We start from the raw sequence: 19,513 nt of genomic DNA, 5'->3' as shown, positions 1-19,513 counted from the left end.
AATAGGGCTAGTGAACACTGACACTGCAGGACAATCATCTCAGACACCACGTTGGGATCCATCAAGGCAGTAGGGGGCCACAGAGAGCAGAGAGGAGTGAAGCTTGGCACCAGCCTTTCTGGGCTAAGCAGGGGGCCAGGAGAACCTCTCCAGCATGTGAAAGGGTGAGTGAGTGAGATACCCCTGGGGGATTCATGCTCTCCACAGGGACCTGTGCAAGACTGGGAATGGGAAAATTCCCCTCACCCCCTGCACTTCTCCCCACTGCACTTCTAGACTCAGCCAGAGAGCCACCTAGACATTTTGCAGGGGCAACTCCTGAGTCCTGGGGTGGGGGCTCTACAATCCTTGGACCCTGGAGCAGACCAGCACTAGTGCCATAGCCCCAGTAGAGGCTGCACTTGCAGTGCTGGGAACAGAAAGATTGTTCCATCCCCCCTCACCAGATGGGGCTTGGCACCAGCTTCTGGCCCAGTGGTTCCACTTCTGCCTGAACTCATCTAGCAATTTTTGTTGTCTTGGGATGCATCCAAATGTCAGAGTTGGTGACCCCACCCAACCCCACCACTGGTAGCCAGGCATACAATGCCTGCTAAAGCTTCTGTCCCAGCAGTCCCACTTGTCTGTGAACTCACCTGGTGGATGCAGCCTCCTGCTGTCACAGGAAGCACATGGACAGCAGGGCATGTGACCTCACTCACCCCCACCACTGGTAGCCAGACAGGTAATGCCTGCTAGACCTTTTAGCCCAGTGATCTGTCTTCTGCCTAAACCCAGCTAGTATGCTCAGACTCCTGTTATCCTGGTAAACACCCAGACGGCAGGACAGATGACCCCATCCATCCCCACTGCTGGTAGACAGGAAGGCAATGCTGGCTAGAGCTTCCAGCCCAGCAGTCTCAATTCTATCTGAATTTAGCTGGTGGGCACAGCCTCCTGTTGTCCTGGGAAACACCTGGACAGCAGGGTTGGTGACTCCACCCACCCTTGCCTCTCATAGCCAGGTGAGGCATGCCTGCTGGAGATTCCAGCCTACAGGTCCTACCTCTGCCTGAATTTGCTGAGGGGCACCACCTCGTGTTTTCCTGGAAACACTCAGATGACATCTCAGGCAACTCAACCTATTCCTGCCCCTTGTAACCAGATAGACCACACCTATAAGAGCTTCCAGTCCAAGGTTTCCCCTTCTGTCTGAACTCTGCAAGCAGGCACAACCCCATGTCCCCCTGCAGGAAGCACTCAGGCAGCAAATCAGCACCACCTTGGCAAGGATATAGTATGTCTGCTAACAGCAGATCCTACCAAAAGGAGCGCTGTGGACCAGAACACCCAACAAAAGAAACATGGGCATGCAGACAGTAATTGAAGGGGGCTCCTCCAAGATCCAGGAGCACACTAAAATCAAAGCCAGTAGACTGAACCCAGTTTATATGGCAATCAAACACTTAAGGGCATCAAAGAAATTAAAAGAAAAAAAAACCCATCCAAAGGACAACTTCAAAGATTGAAGGAACATCAGCCCACACAGATGAGAAAAATATAAAGCAACCACACAAACAAGTCTGCATAATAACCAGCTAACAATATGATGACAGGATTAAATTCATATTTATCAATATTAATACTAACCTTGAATGTAAATTGACTAAATGCCCAAGTCACAAAGTGGCAAGTTGGATAAAGAAACAAAACCCACTGATATGCTGTCTTCAAGAGGCCCATCTCACACACAGTGAAACCCATAGCCTCAAAGTAAAGGGATGGAGAAAAATCTACCAAGCAAATGGAAAACAGAAAAAAGCAGGATTCATTATTCTAATTTCAGAAAAAAAGCAGATTTAAAACCAACAACCATCAAAAAAGACAAGGGCATTACATAATGGTTAAGGGCTCAATTCAACAAGAAGACCTAAATAACCTAAATATATATGCAACCAACACAGGAGCACCCAGATTCATAAAACAAGTTCTTAGGCAAATACAAAGAGACTTAGATAACCACACAATAATATTAGGGGGCTTCAATGCTCCATTGACAGTACTAGATCATCATGGCAGAAAAACTAACAAAGCTATTTGGGACCTGAACTCAACATTTGACCAAATGGGCCCAACAGACATCTATAGATCTCTCCACACAAAACAACAGAATATACATCCTTCTTATCTGCACATGCCACATACTCTAAAATCAACTACACAACCAGCCTTTTAAAAAAATCCTCAGAAAATTTCAAAAAAAATCAAAATCATACCAAGCATACTCTCCAACCACAATGCAATAAAAATAGAAACCAACATGGCACATCTATACATATGTAACAAACCTGCACGTTGTGCACATGTACCCTAGAACTTAAAGTATAATAATAAAAAATAAATAAATAAATAAAAATTACTCAGTGTATTTCAAAAAAAAATCAATACTAAGAAAATCACACAACACCATACAATTACATCGAAATTAAACAACCTACTAACAAATGACTTTTGGGTAAACAAGCAAATTAAGGCAAAAATCAAGAAATTCTTTGAAACTAATGAGAACAAAGAGGCTTCATACCAGAATCTCTAGGACACAGCTAAGGCACTGTTAAGAGGGAAGTTTACAGTGCTAAATGCCCACATCAAAAAGTTAGAAAGATTTCAAATTGGCAACCTAACATCATACCTAGAGGAACTAGAGAAATACCAGCAAATCAACCACAAAGCTAGCAGAAGACAGGAAATAACCAGAATCAGAGCTTAACTGAAGGAAATTGAGATGCAAAAAATCATACAAGAGATCAACGAATCCAGTAGTTTGTTTTTTGAAAGAATAAATAAGATTGAGAGATGGATAGCTAGACTAAAAACACAAAAGAGAGAAGCTCCAAATAAACACAATCAGAAATGACAAAGGGGACATTACCACTGACCCTACAGAAATACAACAAACTCTCAGAGACTATTATGAACATCTCTATGCACACAAACTAAAACATCTAGAAGAAATGGTTAAATTCCTGGAAACATACAACATCACAAGATTGAACGAGGTAGATATTGAAGTCCTGAATGGACCAGTAACAAGTTCCAAAATTGAATCAGTAATAAAAAGCCTACCAACCAGAAAAAAAGCCCTGGACCAGATAGATTCATAGCCAAATTCTACCAGATATATAAAGAAGAATTGGAACCATTCCTGCTGAAACTATTCCCAAAAATTGAGTAGGAGGGACTCTTCCCTACTCATTTTATGAGGCCAGCATCATCTTGATACCAACGTCTGGCAGAGATGAAAAAAAAAAAACACTTCAGGCAGATATCCTTGATGAACATAGATGAAAAAATCCTCAATGAAATACTAGCAAACCAAATCCAGTAGCACATCAAAAAGATAATCCACCAGGATTAAGTAGGCTTTATCCCTGGGATGCAAGGTTGGTTCAACATATGGAAATCAATATATAGGATTCACCACATAAACAGAACTAAAAACAAAAAACACATGATCATCTCTATAGATGCAGAAAAGGCTTCTGATAAATTACAACAGCTTTTCTTGTTAAAACCCTCAACAAACTATACATTGAAGGAACACACCTCAAAATAATAAGAGCCATTTATGACAAACCCATAGCCAACTTCATACCAAATGGGAAAAAGCTGGAAGCATTGCCCTTGAGAATGGGAACAAGACAAGGATGCCCACTTTCACTACCCCTATTCCACATAGTAATGGAAGTTCTAGACAAAGCAACCAGGCAAAAGAAAGAAATAATGGCATCCAAATAGAAAGAAAGGAATTAAAATTATCCCTGTTTGCAGATGATATAATTCTATAACTAGAAAACCCCAAAGTTTCTTCCCAAGAGTTCTGAGATCTGAAAAACAACTTCAGCAAGATTCTGAATACAAAAATGAATGTACAAAAATCAGTAGCATTCCTATACATCAACAACATGCAACCTGAGTACCAAATCAAGAATGCAATCCTATTCACAATAGCCATAAAAAGAATACTGCTAACCAGGGAGGTGCAAGATCACTACAACAAGAATTACAAAACACTGCTCAAATAAATCAGTGATGACACAAACAAATGGAAAAACATTCCATGCCTATGGATAGGAAGAAGCAATATATTAAAAATTGCCATGCTGCCCAAAGAAATTTACAGATTAAATGCTATTCTATCAAACTATCAATGACATTCTTCAAAGAATTAGAAAAATCTATTTTAAAATTGATATGGAACCAAAAAAGAGCCAGAATAGCCCAGGCAATCCTAAGTAAAAAGAACGAAGCTGGAGGTATCACATTATCTAACTTCAAACTGTACTAAAAGGCTGTAGTTACCAAAACAGAATGATACTGGTACAAAAACAGACACATAGACCAATGAAACAGAACAGAGAACCCAGAAATAAGGCCACACACCTACAACCATATGATCTTTGACACAGCAGGCAAAACCAGACAATAGGGAAAGAATGCTCTATTCAATAAATGGTGGTGAGATAACTGGCTAGCCATATGCAAAGGATTGAAGCTGGACCTCTTTCTTACACCATACAATGAAATAAACTAAAGATGGATTAAAGACTTAAATGTAAAACCTACAAGTATAAAAATCCTGGAATATGACCTAGGAAATACCATTCTTGACATAGGATCTGGCAAAGATTTCATGTGGAAGATGCCAAAAGCAATTGCAACAAAAACAAAATTTGACAAATAGGATCTAATTAAACTAAAGAGTTTCTGCATAGCAAAAGAAACTATCAACAGATTAAACGGACAGCCTACAGAATGGGAGAAAATATTAGCAAACTATGCATGTGACAAAGGTCTAATATCCAGAATCTGTAAGGAATTTAAACAAATTTGCAGGCAAAGACCAAACAACCCCATTAAAAGATAGGCAAAGGACATGAAAAAACACTTTTCAAAAGAAGACATACACACAGCTAACAAGCATATGAAATAATGCTCAACATCACTAATTATTAAAGAACTGCAGGTCAAAACCACAATGAGATACCATCTCACACCAGCCACAATGGCTATTATTAAAAAGTTGAAAGATAACAGATGCTGGCTAGGTTGCTTATGCAATGCTGATGGGAATGTAAATTAGTTCAGCCATTGTGGAAAGCAGCTTGGCAATTTCTCAAAGAACTTAAAACAGAAATACCATTCAACTCAGCAATCCCGTTTTTGGGTATATACCCAAAGGAATACAAATGGTTCTCCATAAAAACACACACATGCATATGTTCATTGCAGCACTATTCACAATAGCAAATTCATGAAATCAACCTAAATGCCCATAAACCTAAAAGCCCTCAACATTAGTTCCGGCAGACTTAATAAAGAAAATGTGGTACCTATACACCATGATATTATATCGTTTGCAGCAACATAGATGGAGCTGGAGGCCATTATCCCAAGTGAATTAACACAGGAATAGGAAAGCAAATACCACATGATCTCACTTATAACTGTGAGCTAAACATTGAGTACACATGGACACAAAGAAGGAAACAATGGACACCAGGGTCTACTTAAGGGTGGAGGGTGAGAGGAGGGAGAGGATCAAAAAACTACCTATTTGGTATTATGATTATTACCTGGATGATGAAATATCTGTACACCAATCCCCATGACATGCAATTTATCTATAGAACAAGCCTGCACATGTACCCCTCAACCTAAAATAAAAGTAAAAAAAAAAAGAAAAGAAAACAGATAATAACAAGTGTTGATGAGTATGTGGAGAAACTAGAACCCTAATACATTACTGTTAAGAATGTAAAATGGTGCAGCTTCTATGGAAAACAGTCTGACAGTTACTCCAAATGTGTAAAATAGAGTTTCCATATGACCCAGAAATTCCACTCCCAGGTATATACACAAGAGAACTGAAAACAAAAACTTGTATGCTAATGTTTATAGCAGCATTATTTATAGCAGCCAAAAAGTGTACACAGCCCAAATGTCCACCAAATGATGAATAAAATGCAGTATATCTGTACAATGGAATATTATTCATTAGTAAAAAGGAATGAAGATCTGATGATACATGGTACAACATGGATGAACCTTGAAAACATTATGGCAAGTAATAAAAGAAGACAGTCACAATATTGTATAATCCATTTGTATGACATATCCAGAATAGACAAATCTATAGATTCAGAAAGTAGATTATTAGTTGCCTAGGCTTGGAGAGGGAATGTTGGGAATAGATGGAAAGTTACCGCTAGTGGGTACTGGGTTTTTTGTTTCTTTTGGGGGTGATGACAGTGTTCTAAAATTGATTGTAGTAATGGTTGTGAAACTGTGCATGTACCAAAAACAATTGAATTATATACTTTAAAATGGTGTCTTGTTTGGTAGGCAAATTACATCTCAATAAATCTGTTATATTTAACTAAAAGTAACATAACCAATTGGAAGTATGGAGAGAAAGAGAGATGTGCATGTTGCTGAAAATTGCTGGAGTGACCATGGCACTGAGGCTAGGTGATCCTTTTGATTACAGAAGGAGAGAGAATATATCAGAGTTGGCAAACTTCTATTCTACAAAGTAAATTACTGGACAAAGATGAGAATACCATAACCTAATTCTTTCCAAGCATTTGCTAGGAAACATTTTCACAAGCACAGCTCTCTCAGCTGAAGTTTGTCTTCCACCATTTTCTTCTTCCCTGTAGTGCTTAGGTGCCAGCCTCTGGTTTTCCAGAGATGCTGCTGCCACTGCCCTAGCCACTGTCACCACCACCAAAGATGGTGCTGCCACCGGGAACTAATGTTGAGGGCTTTATTGTCTGCATTGTGGATCTTCTTTGAGCCAGGTTATGCCTTCATTTTTAAGCTATATTTAACAAGAAAGCTCCCAAAGCAGGTCTGTCTCATATTTCTTATATCTGCTCTTTTTGGTAGAAGAGATTTACTTGTTTTTCCTCCTGTCACACTGTCTTTAAAACTCAGGCTTGAGTGCCCCAAGATCAGGGCCAAAGAAAAAGCTGAGTGACAGACACTGCAATCAGTGCCCTGTTGAGTTTTACCTTTCTCTCTCAAGCTGTTCACTGCTGTACTGCTGTTGATCCAACCTTGTGAGCCTCCACTCTTTTTTTTTTTTCTAACTGGATTCTTTCCCAGAAGGCTTCTCAATCCTTCATCTAAATAGATCCCTTGAAAGACCATCCTGTCAGTCCTCTAAACATGTCTGAATCTTATGCTAACCAGTATGTGCTCAAGCTGAGACCACCCTCCCACCTGAGCTCCATCCCATAACTGACACAATCTTTATTTAGCAATTCATACCTTATTTACTAAGCACCTGTCATGTGCCAGGCCCTATTCTAGGCACTCAGAAGTGAACCCAATGCAATCCCTGCCCTCATGGAGCTTCTGTCCTGAAGGGGATAGACAACAAGAAATTACATGACTTATTATTTAATTGTGCTCTATAGGAAAAACGCATAGGCTGCTGTTACAAGATATGATAGGAGGATCCAACCAAGGCTAAGGCAACAGGAAAGTGTCCTTGAGGAAGTGATATTTCAGCTGTATTCCGAAGGCTGTGAAGAGGTTAACCAGGTGGAGGAGGTTGAGCAGAGAAATGAGCTTTACAGGCAGAGCAAACAACCTCCATTCATGCATTCATTCAACAAGTATTTATTGAGCATCTATGATATATTAGGTATTGTTCCAAGTGATGAGGATACAGTAGTGAAAAACAAACAAAATTCATATTCTCATGTTGCTTACATTTTAATGGGGGAAGGTGCCAAAAATAAACAATAACTATGTAAAATAATTGGTATGCTAGTAGGTGTTTAGTGCTATGGAGGTTTTTTTTTAAAGCAACAAAGGGTGATAGGGAGGGCTGATGATAGGTGTGGGGAGGGGGTGTGGAGTGCAGTTTGCAAAGATCTAAGGTAGGGTGACTTCTAATACCTTCCAGATGATGAAAGTAGGCAAGCATGGCTGTGGGACTGAGAGTGGATTCTTGTCCTGCTGCTTCTATTAGTACTATCTTCAATTTATATAGCACTTTGTTTTCATATACATTATTTCATACACGGCCCAGTCTTGCCCAGTCCTTTCCAGAACAGCATAGACGACCCTTCTTCACCAAAAGCTTTTGATTCAGCGTGTTGTGGGGACAGTTTCCATGGGAACACGCCTGCAACTTTACAACGAAAGTCAATAGAGAATTAGAGAATTAGGATTCTCTTTACAGAAATGTGTTTTTAGCCAACTTTGCTGGGTCAAAAATGTGTTTGTGGAAATTAATACCTTAGAGCTGTAAATTCTAGCTAATTAGGTCAGACAAAGGGGAGAAGCATTTTGCCAGAATGACCAAATGTGCAAAGGAAGAACTCTGATTCCAAGAAAAGGCAATGTTAAGTGATCTGCAAAGCAGAGAACGATGGATCTGCCTTTCATAGGAGGTGATATGTAGCTGAGTGTTCAGAAGCAAGTGTTCAGAAGAACAAGTACGCAATTCAAAGCCCATCCAGCATGTTTGCTGATAATGAGGCTATACTGCATTTTTAGAAAGCGTTCCTGACACACCTGACACATTGCATGACATTCAAGGAAAAGCACTGAGAAATAGTCTAGATATCTGTTTTAAAGTGGAGAAGAGAGAGACATTGCATATAGTTACTCAGCAAACACCTTTTGTTCTGGCCCTGTCAATTGCTACCTATGTGAACTTGAACCAGTCTAAGCCTCAGTTTCCTCATCTATAAAATTAGAATGAGAATATACATTTTACAGGGTATTGTAAGAAATAAATGAAACAATGAATTTGGAAAGTATTTCAGGATACTGAAAGAGCTGATTTTTATTGAGGTCTTACTATCTTCCAGATACACATTTAAGCATTATAGTTTTAAGTATAAATTAACTCATTTAATCTTCACAACAACTCTAGGGAACTGATACTATTATTATCCTCCCACTTTACAGTTGGGGAAACAGGCTCAGAAATGTCAGATAACTTATTCAGCATCACACAGTAAATGAAAGAGCCACGATTAAAACTTTAGAGATCATGCCCTTACACTACACTGCCTAGGTAACAATTCTAAGGGTAGGGGAGCTAATTTCTCAGAAGCTGGGTATAAAATCTAACTAGTAAACAGCAGAAATAGAATTCAAATGAAGTCTGACTCCAAAGTCTGCTTTTATTCACTATGCAGTATTCTGATAGCACAGTAATAATAGTAGCTATTATTTGTTGACTGCCTATTTACCAAACGCTTTATGAACAGTACCACTAATCTTCATAAGATAGATAACTCTACAAGGCAAATATTATTTTCATTTGACAGGAAAGGAAAATAAGCCTCAGAGAGTTGTTCTTTGATCAAAGGCACACCACTCAGGGTTTGAATCCACATCTGCCTCACACCAGACCCTGTGTCTACTACACCTTGCTTCCATTCTTGTGGAATGTAAAGGGTACAGGTGTTTGTTGTTGGTATCGTATGGGTCAGAGTGTGTGACCATAAGCATTAGCTATATGCCTGTGAAAACTCAGTGATACGATTTTACATGAAAATGGTACCAATTAACTGTCATCTTCCAACTCCTACAATGTCTCCCATCTGATTTAAGGTGGCATGTCTGCCTCTTTCTGCTGTCCCCTCCCTTCTAGCTCTTTCTCTCCTTCCCATCTCTCCCCCTCATTTCCTTTTTCTGTTCTTCTCTACTCTCTTTTTTTTCTCTTCTTGTTTATCCTGCAAATGTCTCTCCACTCTAGAACCATCTGAGTTCAGTCAGGGGGACATGAGGGCATCTTCAGGTTTCTTCAGGGTCACACCAATCCTAGAACTGAATGAACCTCTTGCAGAGACAGTGGTCCTCGTCAGGGTCATCTCATAATGGATGAGGAGACTGGCAATTGACCCAACCTCATCCAGATTTTGATGAATATGTTGACAAAGCCAGTCTTAAGAAAGACCCCACTGTTCTTTGAAAGACATGTCTTAGGAGCACGCATCTTTGGGGCCATAGCTGGTGTAAGAGTGTGCACGAAATCTCCAGCTCATTCACTTATTAAGACATTTTATTCTTCAAATGTAAGTGCCTGGCAGTACCTAAAGAATGAAAAGATAAAGAGAAGGCAGCAAGGTCCCTACCCTCCAAGAGCTAGAAATTCTCAGTCCAATGTGGGAGCAGACACATGCCCAAATACATATAATACACAAAGATAAGTTCTTTAATAGAGATTTATGCAAGATGCATAAGAGACCAGAAGAAATAGCCACTCATTCTTCTTGGAAGGGTAGGAAGTCAAGGAACACTTCAGTGAGGAGGTGGCATTCAAGCGAAGCTTTGGCAGGTGAGGGGCAGATCACCCGAGGAGGAAAGGACATTCTAGGCAGAACAAAGAACTTGTGCAAAGGTCTTTGCAGGATATTTCCTGAGAAAAGACATGGGGATATAAAGTAGAGAGTGTCCATGTGTTATTTAGCAAAGTTGAAGACACACATGGACTGTTCTGAACAGATAGTCACACTGGGTATATGTTGTCTCTACATTTTCTAGATGCCAATGGATTGGTTTGTATGTAGCCAAAAAAGATGCTCAGGAAGCATTTGTTTTAGATTAATGGAATCATCTCTTTTCCTGGCTTGTTATGCATTCACTTTTGAAATACACCCCCTATTCAGGGTAGAAGCTTCTTAGGATGCCTTTTGCTGAAGAATCTTTGGTGCAATATTTTTAGGGATTTGGCATGAATGCCTATGTAGATGGACCCAAAGAGGCTAGTTTAGGGAAGATCAGACCTCCAAACAAGCCAGAGCTTCTGTTTCCTTCCTAAAGTATTCTTCTTCTCTCACTATCTTTTACCCATACTATGTATTCTATGGTCTCAGCCAGTCATTGTTATCCACATTATACTATCACTATCACCATCATTGTCAACATAAGCAGGAACAGCAGTTATTTAACAGGGTAAAAGGAGAATATCATAGGAACTGCTAGTATAGATAGAAGGAAACATACCTCCATCAATGAATTAGGAAACCCTTCTTGCAGGATGGGAAATCTTAGGAGCTTCTGGAATATATGCATGAATAGACACATTTATTATATACCTCTATATATAAGCCTTTTGCAGGCGTTTTCATACACCTTAACTCATGAACTGCTCACATGTTCTCTGTAAGATAGGATTATTATCATTGGCCCCTTTTTTACAGATTAGAATACTATGGATTTATTTATTTATTATTTTTATGATATGGGGTCTCACTACACCGCCCAGGCTGGTCTCAAACCTCTGGCCTCAAGCGATCCTTCTACCTCAGCCTCTCAAAGTGCTGAGATCTCAGGCATGAGCCACCGCACCCAGGATCACATTAGTAAAGGGTAGAACCCCATGTTATTTAATTCCACTTCTAGCATTTTTCTACTATAATACAGCTCAATCCTCCTCCCCTTTACCTGGCTTGATGGGGATGGGGGAGTGAGGTACACTCTGAGACACTGGATTTCACATGAAGAGGAGTCTTTTGAGGTCATTTACTTAAGGGAGCAGAGGTTACCATGTCCAAGAAATCCTGGACCAGATGATTCTGGAGCTAGGTGAGCTCAGTGTGTGCCTCCTCCTCAAACCATGAGACTACATTGAAATCTTCAACAGTGGCACTGTTGAAAGTGCCATTACTAATACTTCCCACAGTGAATAAGGCCTGTAAGTCTGTGCTTGACAGAGAGAGCTCACACTGTACAGGGTGCTCTGGTGGTATTCAACTCTGAGAAGCCCAAAACCCACATCACACACTCCATATATTACCCACAGAACTGCAGTGTCACCCAGGCATTCAGCTGCATGATGGAGGGCTGCACTTCACTGTGGGAACCGGTTAAAGATGCCTGCTGATCTCTGTCCATGGTACTGTCCTAAGGCTGGACACATTTCCTCACTACACCCACCACAGCTCCCACCTTGCTCAGTGCTGCCAAAGCCACGAACATCTTTGGCTTGTGGCTAGAACTGTGTTACAGGGCCTTGTGTGCTGAGCTGTTTGGCCTGGCTTCATCTGGGGCTTCTCCAATGGCTGTTGGCAATTAAAGATGGAAGTGGTTTTCTCCAGATCTCAGTTCCCAAACTTTGAGTCACTCAACCCTGTCCCAGCATGTTTCAAAGGCTCACCCCGAGAGGAGAAGTACTCAAGTGCAGGAGCTGTCCTTGTCCAGGCTAGCTTTGAACACAGCAGCCAAGGCACCTGAGCATGTTGGACAAATGGGGGCAGGACACCCCAGACACTCTGGGAACCAGCACTTTGCTCATCTGGGCTCTATTTGTGAGCCCTACTATTTACCTCCTCTCTCAACAACTCAGATCCACCTCCATAGGACAATGAGTGCAATCAACAGGTTATGTTTGTTTGTTTGTTATAAGGCTTCAAGGAAGTAGGAGGAAAGGGAATATCTGCTATGGGGCACTTTGTTTCAATAGATTGTCATGAACAGAAGACATGATGTGTGTGAAAGTATATCAGAAATCATAAATGTTATTCATTGCCTATCGTCTGAACATCAAGGGTAACTTTCTCAGATATCTACCTATCTACCGTGTGACCATGACCTTTCTTTTCCACATTTATAAAGTACGGAGTGAGAATTTAAGGTTAATATATCCTAGAGTTCCAAAGCCGTTCATGTGTGGCCCCATCCAACCCCTCCAAATTTTGCTTGCTCCACTGAACAAGCCCTTGGCTCCAGACATGCTGTACATGTCAACCGACTCCCAAACACATTGCTCATCATCCTGCCTCAGCACTTCCTCAGCTCATGCTCTTCCTCATGCTTGATATGCTCTTCTCCTTACTGCCTAGTACAGTCATACTTCTCTTCCCGGGCTACCACTCCTGGGGCAGGCTCAGGGACTCCCAAACTCCTTTGGTATCCTGAAGCCCTTTTTCTCACCTCTCTTTCAGCCCTGAATCTGCACAGCCTGAGAGTGTTGCCTTCCTGTGTTTCCATTTCCCCTTCTAGACTATAAAGTCCTTTGAGGCAAAAAAAAAAAAAAAAAAGTGTCTTTAATTGTCTCTGTTTTCTCCTCCTGAGACCTAATACAGGGCCTAAATCAAACACTAGCCGAATAATTCATAGAATAGGGATCCCCTTACCCCTCCAAGGGCTGCTGTAAGGGGAAAAAATGAGACATCTGTCTATTGTCAGGAAAGCTATAGTTTTCTAATACTGTTTAGGACAAAAGAGAGAATTATTGAGCCAGCTTGTCAGTTCCACTGTATTTAAATGGAGCCCTGGGTGCTGCCCCTCAAACAAGAGGAACAGCCGATGCTTGTTTTGATTTTGATTCGTTGACCTCTCAGTTCTGTAACCTCCTTTCAGTTCCTTTGGGCCATTCTTTGAAATTCACCAGGGAAAGCCACCATAAACTCCCAGCCAGAGGCCATTAGTATAATTACTATATAGTATCTGGGCACAATAGTGGTACATTATATGAAAAGTAATATGGTAGTTTCTTTCATAAGTAATATGCTAGTTTTTGTATATGCATATGATACCATAATAATGTTATTTCTGTCATTCACCTTCTTTTATCCTTCTGGGCTAAAAACATACGTTTGGGCTGAAAGACATCCTGTGTCTGGCCTCAGCATGATAGAAAGAAACTTTCTGGATCTATCTCCAGAATGTCAACATCTGTTATGCCCCAGAAATATACAGACACTGTAGCTCCCTTCTTTGGGAGCAGGCTGAGTTGTGGGGCCGATAGGGAGGTGATATGGCAAGCCAAAAACCACAACTCCCTTGGCTTTTGGCTGGCATCTGAAAGAATGTAGCCATTTTATGATACCAGTTACAGAGGCTGAGAATCTTGCAGGCATGTAACATGGAAGTAATGGAGGAATGAAATGTTTTTCCCAAAGAGAAACTCCAGTAAACTCTCTTTAATCTTTGTTATCTAATCTATTAGCCAGTGGAGAGATTATGTTCTCCATGCCCCCTATGGAAAAACTATGGTTCAGAGAGGTTTGGTAATTTTCTAAACATCACACAGTTTGTTTATGGCTGAATTAAGGTTAACACCCAAGATTCTAGGTTCAGGTCTCATACTTCATTACCCCCCTTTGGTCTAATGGATATGCTACCATTGACTGTTAAATAGCAGAGACCAATTATTCCCAAATGGCACCTTCTTGAATTGAAGTCTCACAGTGATTCTCTTCTTTAGATCTGCCTTACAGGGAGGACCACTCTATTTGAGATTCTCTGTTATGTTTTTAGACAATAAAACCCCAGGGAAAGGGATGATGGAGGCTAAGATAGGCCTGATTTGAGTTCCGCTCTAGAAGAAGCAAAGAACGTACTGAAAATCCAATCAGTGTTTTTATATTGAGTGCCTCTGTTGTTCTGGGCACTGTGCTCAGACATGGACATCAAAGTTGAAGGTATCTGCTCTACTCTTCATAAATGAACAGTCTAGAAAGGGAAGAAGACACATAAGCAGACAGTGTCAGTATCATATACTAAGTGTAATGATTACAGTAAACCCAAATGCTATGGGAGCACAGAGAGAATGCCCAGGCTAGTCTAAAGGTAGGGATGGGCCCTCAAAAGTTTTCATGGAGTAACTACAGTTAATATCTGTGCCTGGCCCATTGAAAACATTCAGTAAAAGTTAGCTATTATCACCATGCCAGTACACGTTGTCCCTGCCCTCAAGGAGCTCATGGCCTAGCAAAGGAGAAAGTACCAATATATAACTATAATAATATGCAATTTAAGCTATATGGTCTGTTGGAGAAAACAGACATGGATAATAACTCACATTCAGTGAAGGCTGCCTATGTGCCAAGCAGTGTTCTGAGGACATTATATTTATTCCTTCATTTAGTTCCCATAACAACTCCATGGTTAACACAATTTTTTTTCTCAATTATTAATATAAATGAGGAAACTGAAGCACAGACAAGTAAAGTAACTTGCCCAAAGCCACACAACTAATGGACATTGTTAAGTAGTCACACTTAAACCTGTCTTAAAGAAGAAGAAAAGCCACCTGGAAGATGACCTGGCACTCACAGGTAGGCCATGGCTGGTCTCCTGATGGACATAAACACTCTCACAAAATACTGACATCAGACAATGTTACACTGAGAACATGACAAAATGAAACAAAACAAGGCCTCTTCATAATTTTGTCTAAGCACAGACAAAAAACCCACAAAAGCCTTATCTCCACTTTAGTCTACCTCCCAATAGATAAGATTTATTAAGATGCCCAGTCACAGAATTGCCCTTGCTTTCTGAGAGCATTCAATGTAGAATTAATTCCCACTTTCTTAAACCCTCCCCCAATTACCCAACCAAAATCCAAATCCTATAAGTCCTTTCTACCACCTTTTATCTGAGACACCCCATGATTTCCTGTTTTATTAGTTCGCTCTGGCTGCCATAACAAAATATTACAGACTGAGTGATTAAAACAACTGAGATTTATTTTCTCACAGTTCTGGAGGTTAAAAGTCCAAGATGAAGGTGTCAGTAGGTCTGGTTTCTCCTGAGATCACCATCTCCTTGGCTTGCAGATGGCCTTTTTGTGTTGTCTGTGTCCTAATTTTCTCCTCTTATAAGGACCTCAGTCATATTAGATTAGGGCCCATTCTCAAGGCCTTATTTTAACTTAGTATCCTCTGCAAAGGCCCTATCTCCAAGCAGTCACATTCTGGGGTACTGGGAATAGTCAGAGCTTCAACATATGAATTTTTGGGGAAATGCAAATCAGCCCATAACACCCATGGTGTGTGTTCTCCCTCACTCTAACAAGTAGTAAACCCAAATTGTTCAACTACAGTTGTGTTTCTGGTAGTTTTTGGCTGGAGGGCATTGACAAAAATTATAACTGGTAACAAATAAGCAACTAACTTTATAAAGGAAGAATAGCATATGTAGTTAATACAGGTGAAAACAATGTGCTTTCCGACAACGGAAAAAGAGCAATTCATTCTGGATATTGAGATCCAGCCAATAGATGGGTGGCATTTTACATGTTTAACCTTTTTTGTTTGTTTGTTTTTGCTTTTGAGAACAGAGGCCAAATTTTGTCTTCTTATTTATTCCAGTGCCTGAAAGATGCAAATATATTTGCACAGTGTCTCACAAATGCAAGATAAATAACATATCATCCCTATCCTCAGGACACATATACCTAACTTCCTTGTGACTCGATTTTCTCATTTGTAAAATGGAGATAGTAAAATTGTGTTTGTTGTGAAGATTAAATAATTCATGTAAATTGCTTAGCACAGTGTCTGGCACATAGTAAGGACCCAATAAGTATAATTATTTCAGGATGAGCTATTATTTATGGATGAGTTTCATAGATATAAAATGAGAGGGAGAAATAACAAGAGTGTTTCAAGCAAGTGGGATGACAGAAACAAAGGCACAGAGATGGGGAGTTGTAAAAGCCATACAGACAGTTTATTGTCCAGGAATGAAAGACCCATGGTAGAGCGCCTCAAACTTGGTAAAGTGACCCAGACCTTATTGTCAATGGGATATCTGGAACATTTATCTCCTGTACTTTGCCAGGGAAAAGAAAATATACCCCCGCCTCTGCACTGTTTCTGGGGAGGGATTGTGTGACAGGTGATGGTGAGAAGTTGCACACATCAGATCTCAAAGCCTGAGCCCTCGTAGCAAAATGACGCTGTAGCTGTGGCAGCAAAGAAATCTGAAATGAGGCCCTGCCTGACTGGAGAAGCTGTGCTTTGGCAATGATGTTGGAGCAAGTGCACACAAAGTAGCTACTTTTACCCCTTCTGTTCTAGTACCAACCTTTTCATCTCTTGCCTTGGCTCCTAGTGGTGACAAATCTCCCGAGGCTCAGGCCTCAACCTTGCACCCAGGACTCCAGAAGTACTAAATGGTCCCTCCTGAGTTGCTCTCCAATCGTTTTGCTGTTTCCTGTTGAGTTCCCAGGACGTCTGAAGGAAAATGACCACCTAAGAGATTTTTCAATGACAGCCATCAGGCAGATCTGTTTTCCTTCCTGGCCATATTCAGCTTCCCTTCTTTCCTTTATTCCCCAAACGTCACTCCCCAATTGTCTGCCTTCATCCAACCCTTCAAAAAGGACCCACCTTCCTGGGGGCCCAGGCCCTTAAGTTAAGAGTAGGTAAAGGTTGAATGGTTAGATGCTTGGTGGATGAAACCATTCAAATATTCTTCCCCAAACTTCAGAGTGCCCCTCTCCGCACACACAACTGCCCTAAAAGGCATGGGAGAGTGGTGTCCGGTTGCGTGTCTGCCAGGGGAAGAACGCACCACTGGCGTAGTGGACTGGAAGGGCAGCAGGAACGCGAGTGGGGGGCGGGGTGGGAATGGGGAAGGGGGGTGCGCGCCCTTTATGACAGGTGGCCGCGCAGTGCGCGCTCCCGGGCGCCCGAGGGGAGGGAAGGACAGACGGACAGAGTTGGGGGGGCACATAAGGAAGGGACCATAGAGAGGGTAAGGAGAGCGGGAGGGAAAGGGAGAGCTGTGGTGGGGAAGAAGGGTAGAGGGGGGAAGGCGTCCAGCAAGAACAGCCGTGTTGGAGGAAACAATGGCAGGGGCAACAGCGATGGTGGCAGCAGAGGCGGCCCCACTCTGGGCACCTTTCTGAATGGGCAGAGACAGCTCCGGGAGAAGAGGGGACCAGGCAGTGCCTGCAGAGGCTCTGAGAAAAGCGGCAGAGGGAGGAGAAGAGGGAGGAGGAAGAGAAGGAGGAGGAGGAGTAGGAGGAGGAGGAGGAAGGGGGAGGAGGGGGGACGAGGCAGGGGAAGAACCTGGGAAGGAAAACCAGTAGCATCAGCAGCAGCAGCAGCAGCCGCCGCCGCCACCACCGCCGCCACAGCAGTAGCATTAGCGGCAGTAGCAGCATTTAGCAATAGCTTTAACAGCTATAGCGACAGTAGCAGCCGCCCTCCTCTCTCCCTCTCGCGGACGGCCGCAGCCACCGCACAGAGCGGGCTCCAGGCGCCGAGCGCGCAGCCCGCTCGCTAGGTAGCTCCAGCCGGGGCGAGCGACAGTGTAAGCGAAGCACGGACCCTTGGAGCAGCCGGGCAGCCGCGGAGGCTCTGAGTTTCAGGGCCAGAGCCCGACAGCTCTGACTCCATCTAGCGCGGCGGCGGCGGAGCCTGAGGGAGCGAGCGAGGAGAGAGGCGCGTCCACCTGGCGGGCCCAGCGTATGGAGCTGAGGCAGAGGCGGCGGCGGCGGCGGCAGCAGTAGCAGCGGCGGTGGCGGCTAAGGCAGCTCGAACAGCTGCGGCGACGGCGACAGCCCAGCCTTGACTGCGACCGCGCTAGCTACAGCGCCTGCTGCCTGAGCCCGCCAGCGACGTGCGCCTCGGGAGTCGGCCTGTGAGGTGAGTAGGAGCGCTGCCATACAGCTTCCTGGCCTTCTCGCCGGCTCCCCGGCTGGCTCGGGGTGGCGGCCGCAGGGGGTGGAATGAACTGGGGTAAGTCGAGCTAGACGAGAAGGAAGGGAAAACGGAACGGAGGACGTCTGTATGCGAATGTGTGTGTCTGTGTATGAGGGAGCGAGGCCGCTAGGGCGAGAGATCCCGGCTCGCCCTGACAGGCACTGCAATCTAGGAAAGGCCTCTGTGCTTGCGCCGTAGGAAGGGGGTTGCGGGGGGAGGGGAAGCGAGCGGACCGGAGCCGCCGCGCTTACACGCACGCAGCTCGGCAGAGTGCCGCCTCCTTTCGGACTGGTGCAGGGTAGAGCCTGGCCAGGGAATGGGGCATGGGCATGGCACGCTTCGGCGAGAGCGGGAAAACCCACGCGGCGGCCGAGGCCGGGCGCTCGGACCAAAGCCGCAAAGGTGCGAAGCCGGGCGGCCGTGGCGACCACAGAGCGCCCCCAGGACACGCGCCACTCGGCCGAGGCTGCGGACAGGTTTAAGTTGGAGGCCAGACCGAGCCTCGCCCAGCTCATCTCCTTTGCGGAAATTGGCTTGTGGCCCCTTCGCGCTCTCGGTGGCGGTCGAATTGACGCTTTTCTGTGTGGCTTCTGGCGCTTCTCTCTGCCGCGCCCCGCAGCACACGTCGGCTCGCGTCTTGTACACCCTGTAGGGCGGGAAGGCCGTGAGCCGGCGCGGGGAGCGGAGTCCCGCTCCGGGAAAGTGTGGAAACCGCGCTGCTGAGTTGGCGCCGTTCCGCTGAGGAATTCAGCGATTTCAGCATGACTGCTTCTGTCTGTCTGATTCGTGAGGGACCGAATCACCCGCGCAAGGTTTTCTGTCTTTTTCGAAGTTAAAAAAAAATTGGCATCCCCATTTCGACAACAGCACTCTTGATTTTTATCAAGCTTCTGGTTGCATTTTGGAATAAGTGGGTCTCATATTTTGCTTCTGGATCTTGGCTCCCAGCATATTGTTGAATGCTGTGCACAGCACTACATTTAGATATGTGGCCTTTTTCTAATGTTGCATTTTCTAGACTGTTATCTGAAAAGACATGATTTGTGTTGTAGGGCTGG

General features: G+C 43.2%; 1 protein-coding gene across 1 annotated transcript in view, besides 1 other annotated feature; it reads left to right on the top strand.

The window, feature by feature from the left end:
* NEXMIF (neurite extension and migration factor) overlaps nucleotides 17,829-19,513 on the top strand; it is a 192,597-nt gene continuing 190,912 nt past the window's right edge. The window contains exon 1 of the mRNA NM_001008537.3: nucleotides 17,829-18,398. The gene's annotated coding sequence lies outside the window, so the exon portion shown is untranslated. The remainder of the gene's footprint in view (nucleotides 18,399-19,513) is intronic.
* Nucleotides 18,791-18,950: a silencer, noted in NCBI's record as "silent region_20907". NCBI's record gives its function as "represses an Ori minimal core promoter by ATAC-STARR-seq in GM12878 lymphoblastoid cells {active_cell/tissue: GM12878}" and the evidence as "EXISTENCE:reporter gene assay evidence [ECO:0000049][PMID:35858748]".

Source organism: Homo sapiens, chromosome X (assembly GCF_000001405.40).
Source record: "Homo sapiens chromosome X, GRCh38.p14 Primary Assembly".
Taxonomy (NCBI): Eukaryota; Metazoa; Chordata; class Mammalia; order Primates; family Hominidae; genus Homo; species Homo sapiens.
The sequence above is the reverse complement of the archived record's forward strand: the minus strand, read 5'-3'. Positions and strand labels throughout refer to the sequence as shown.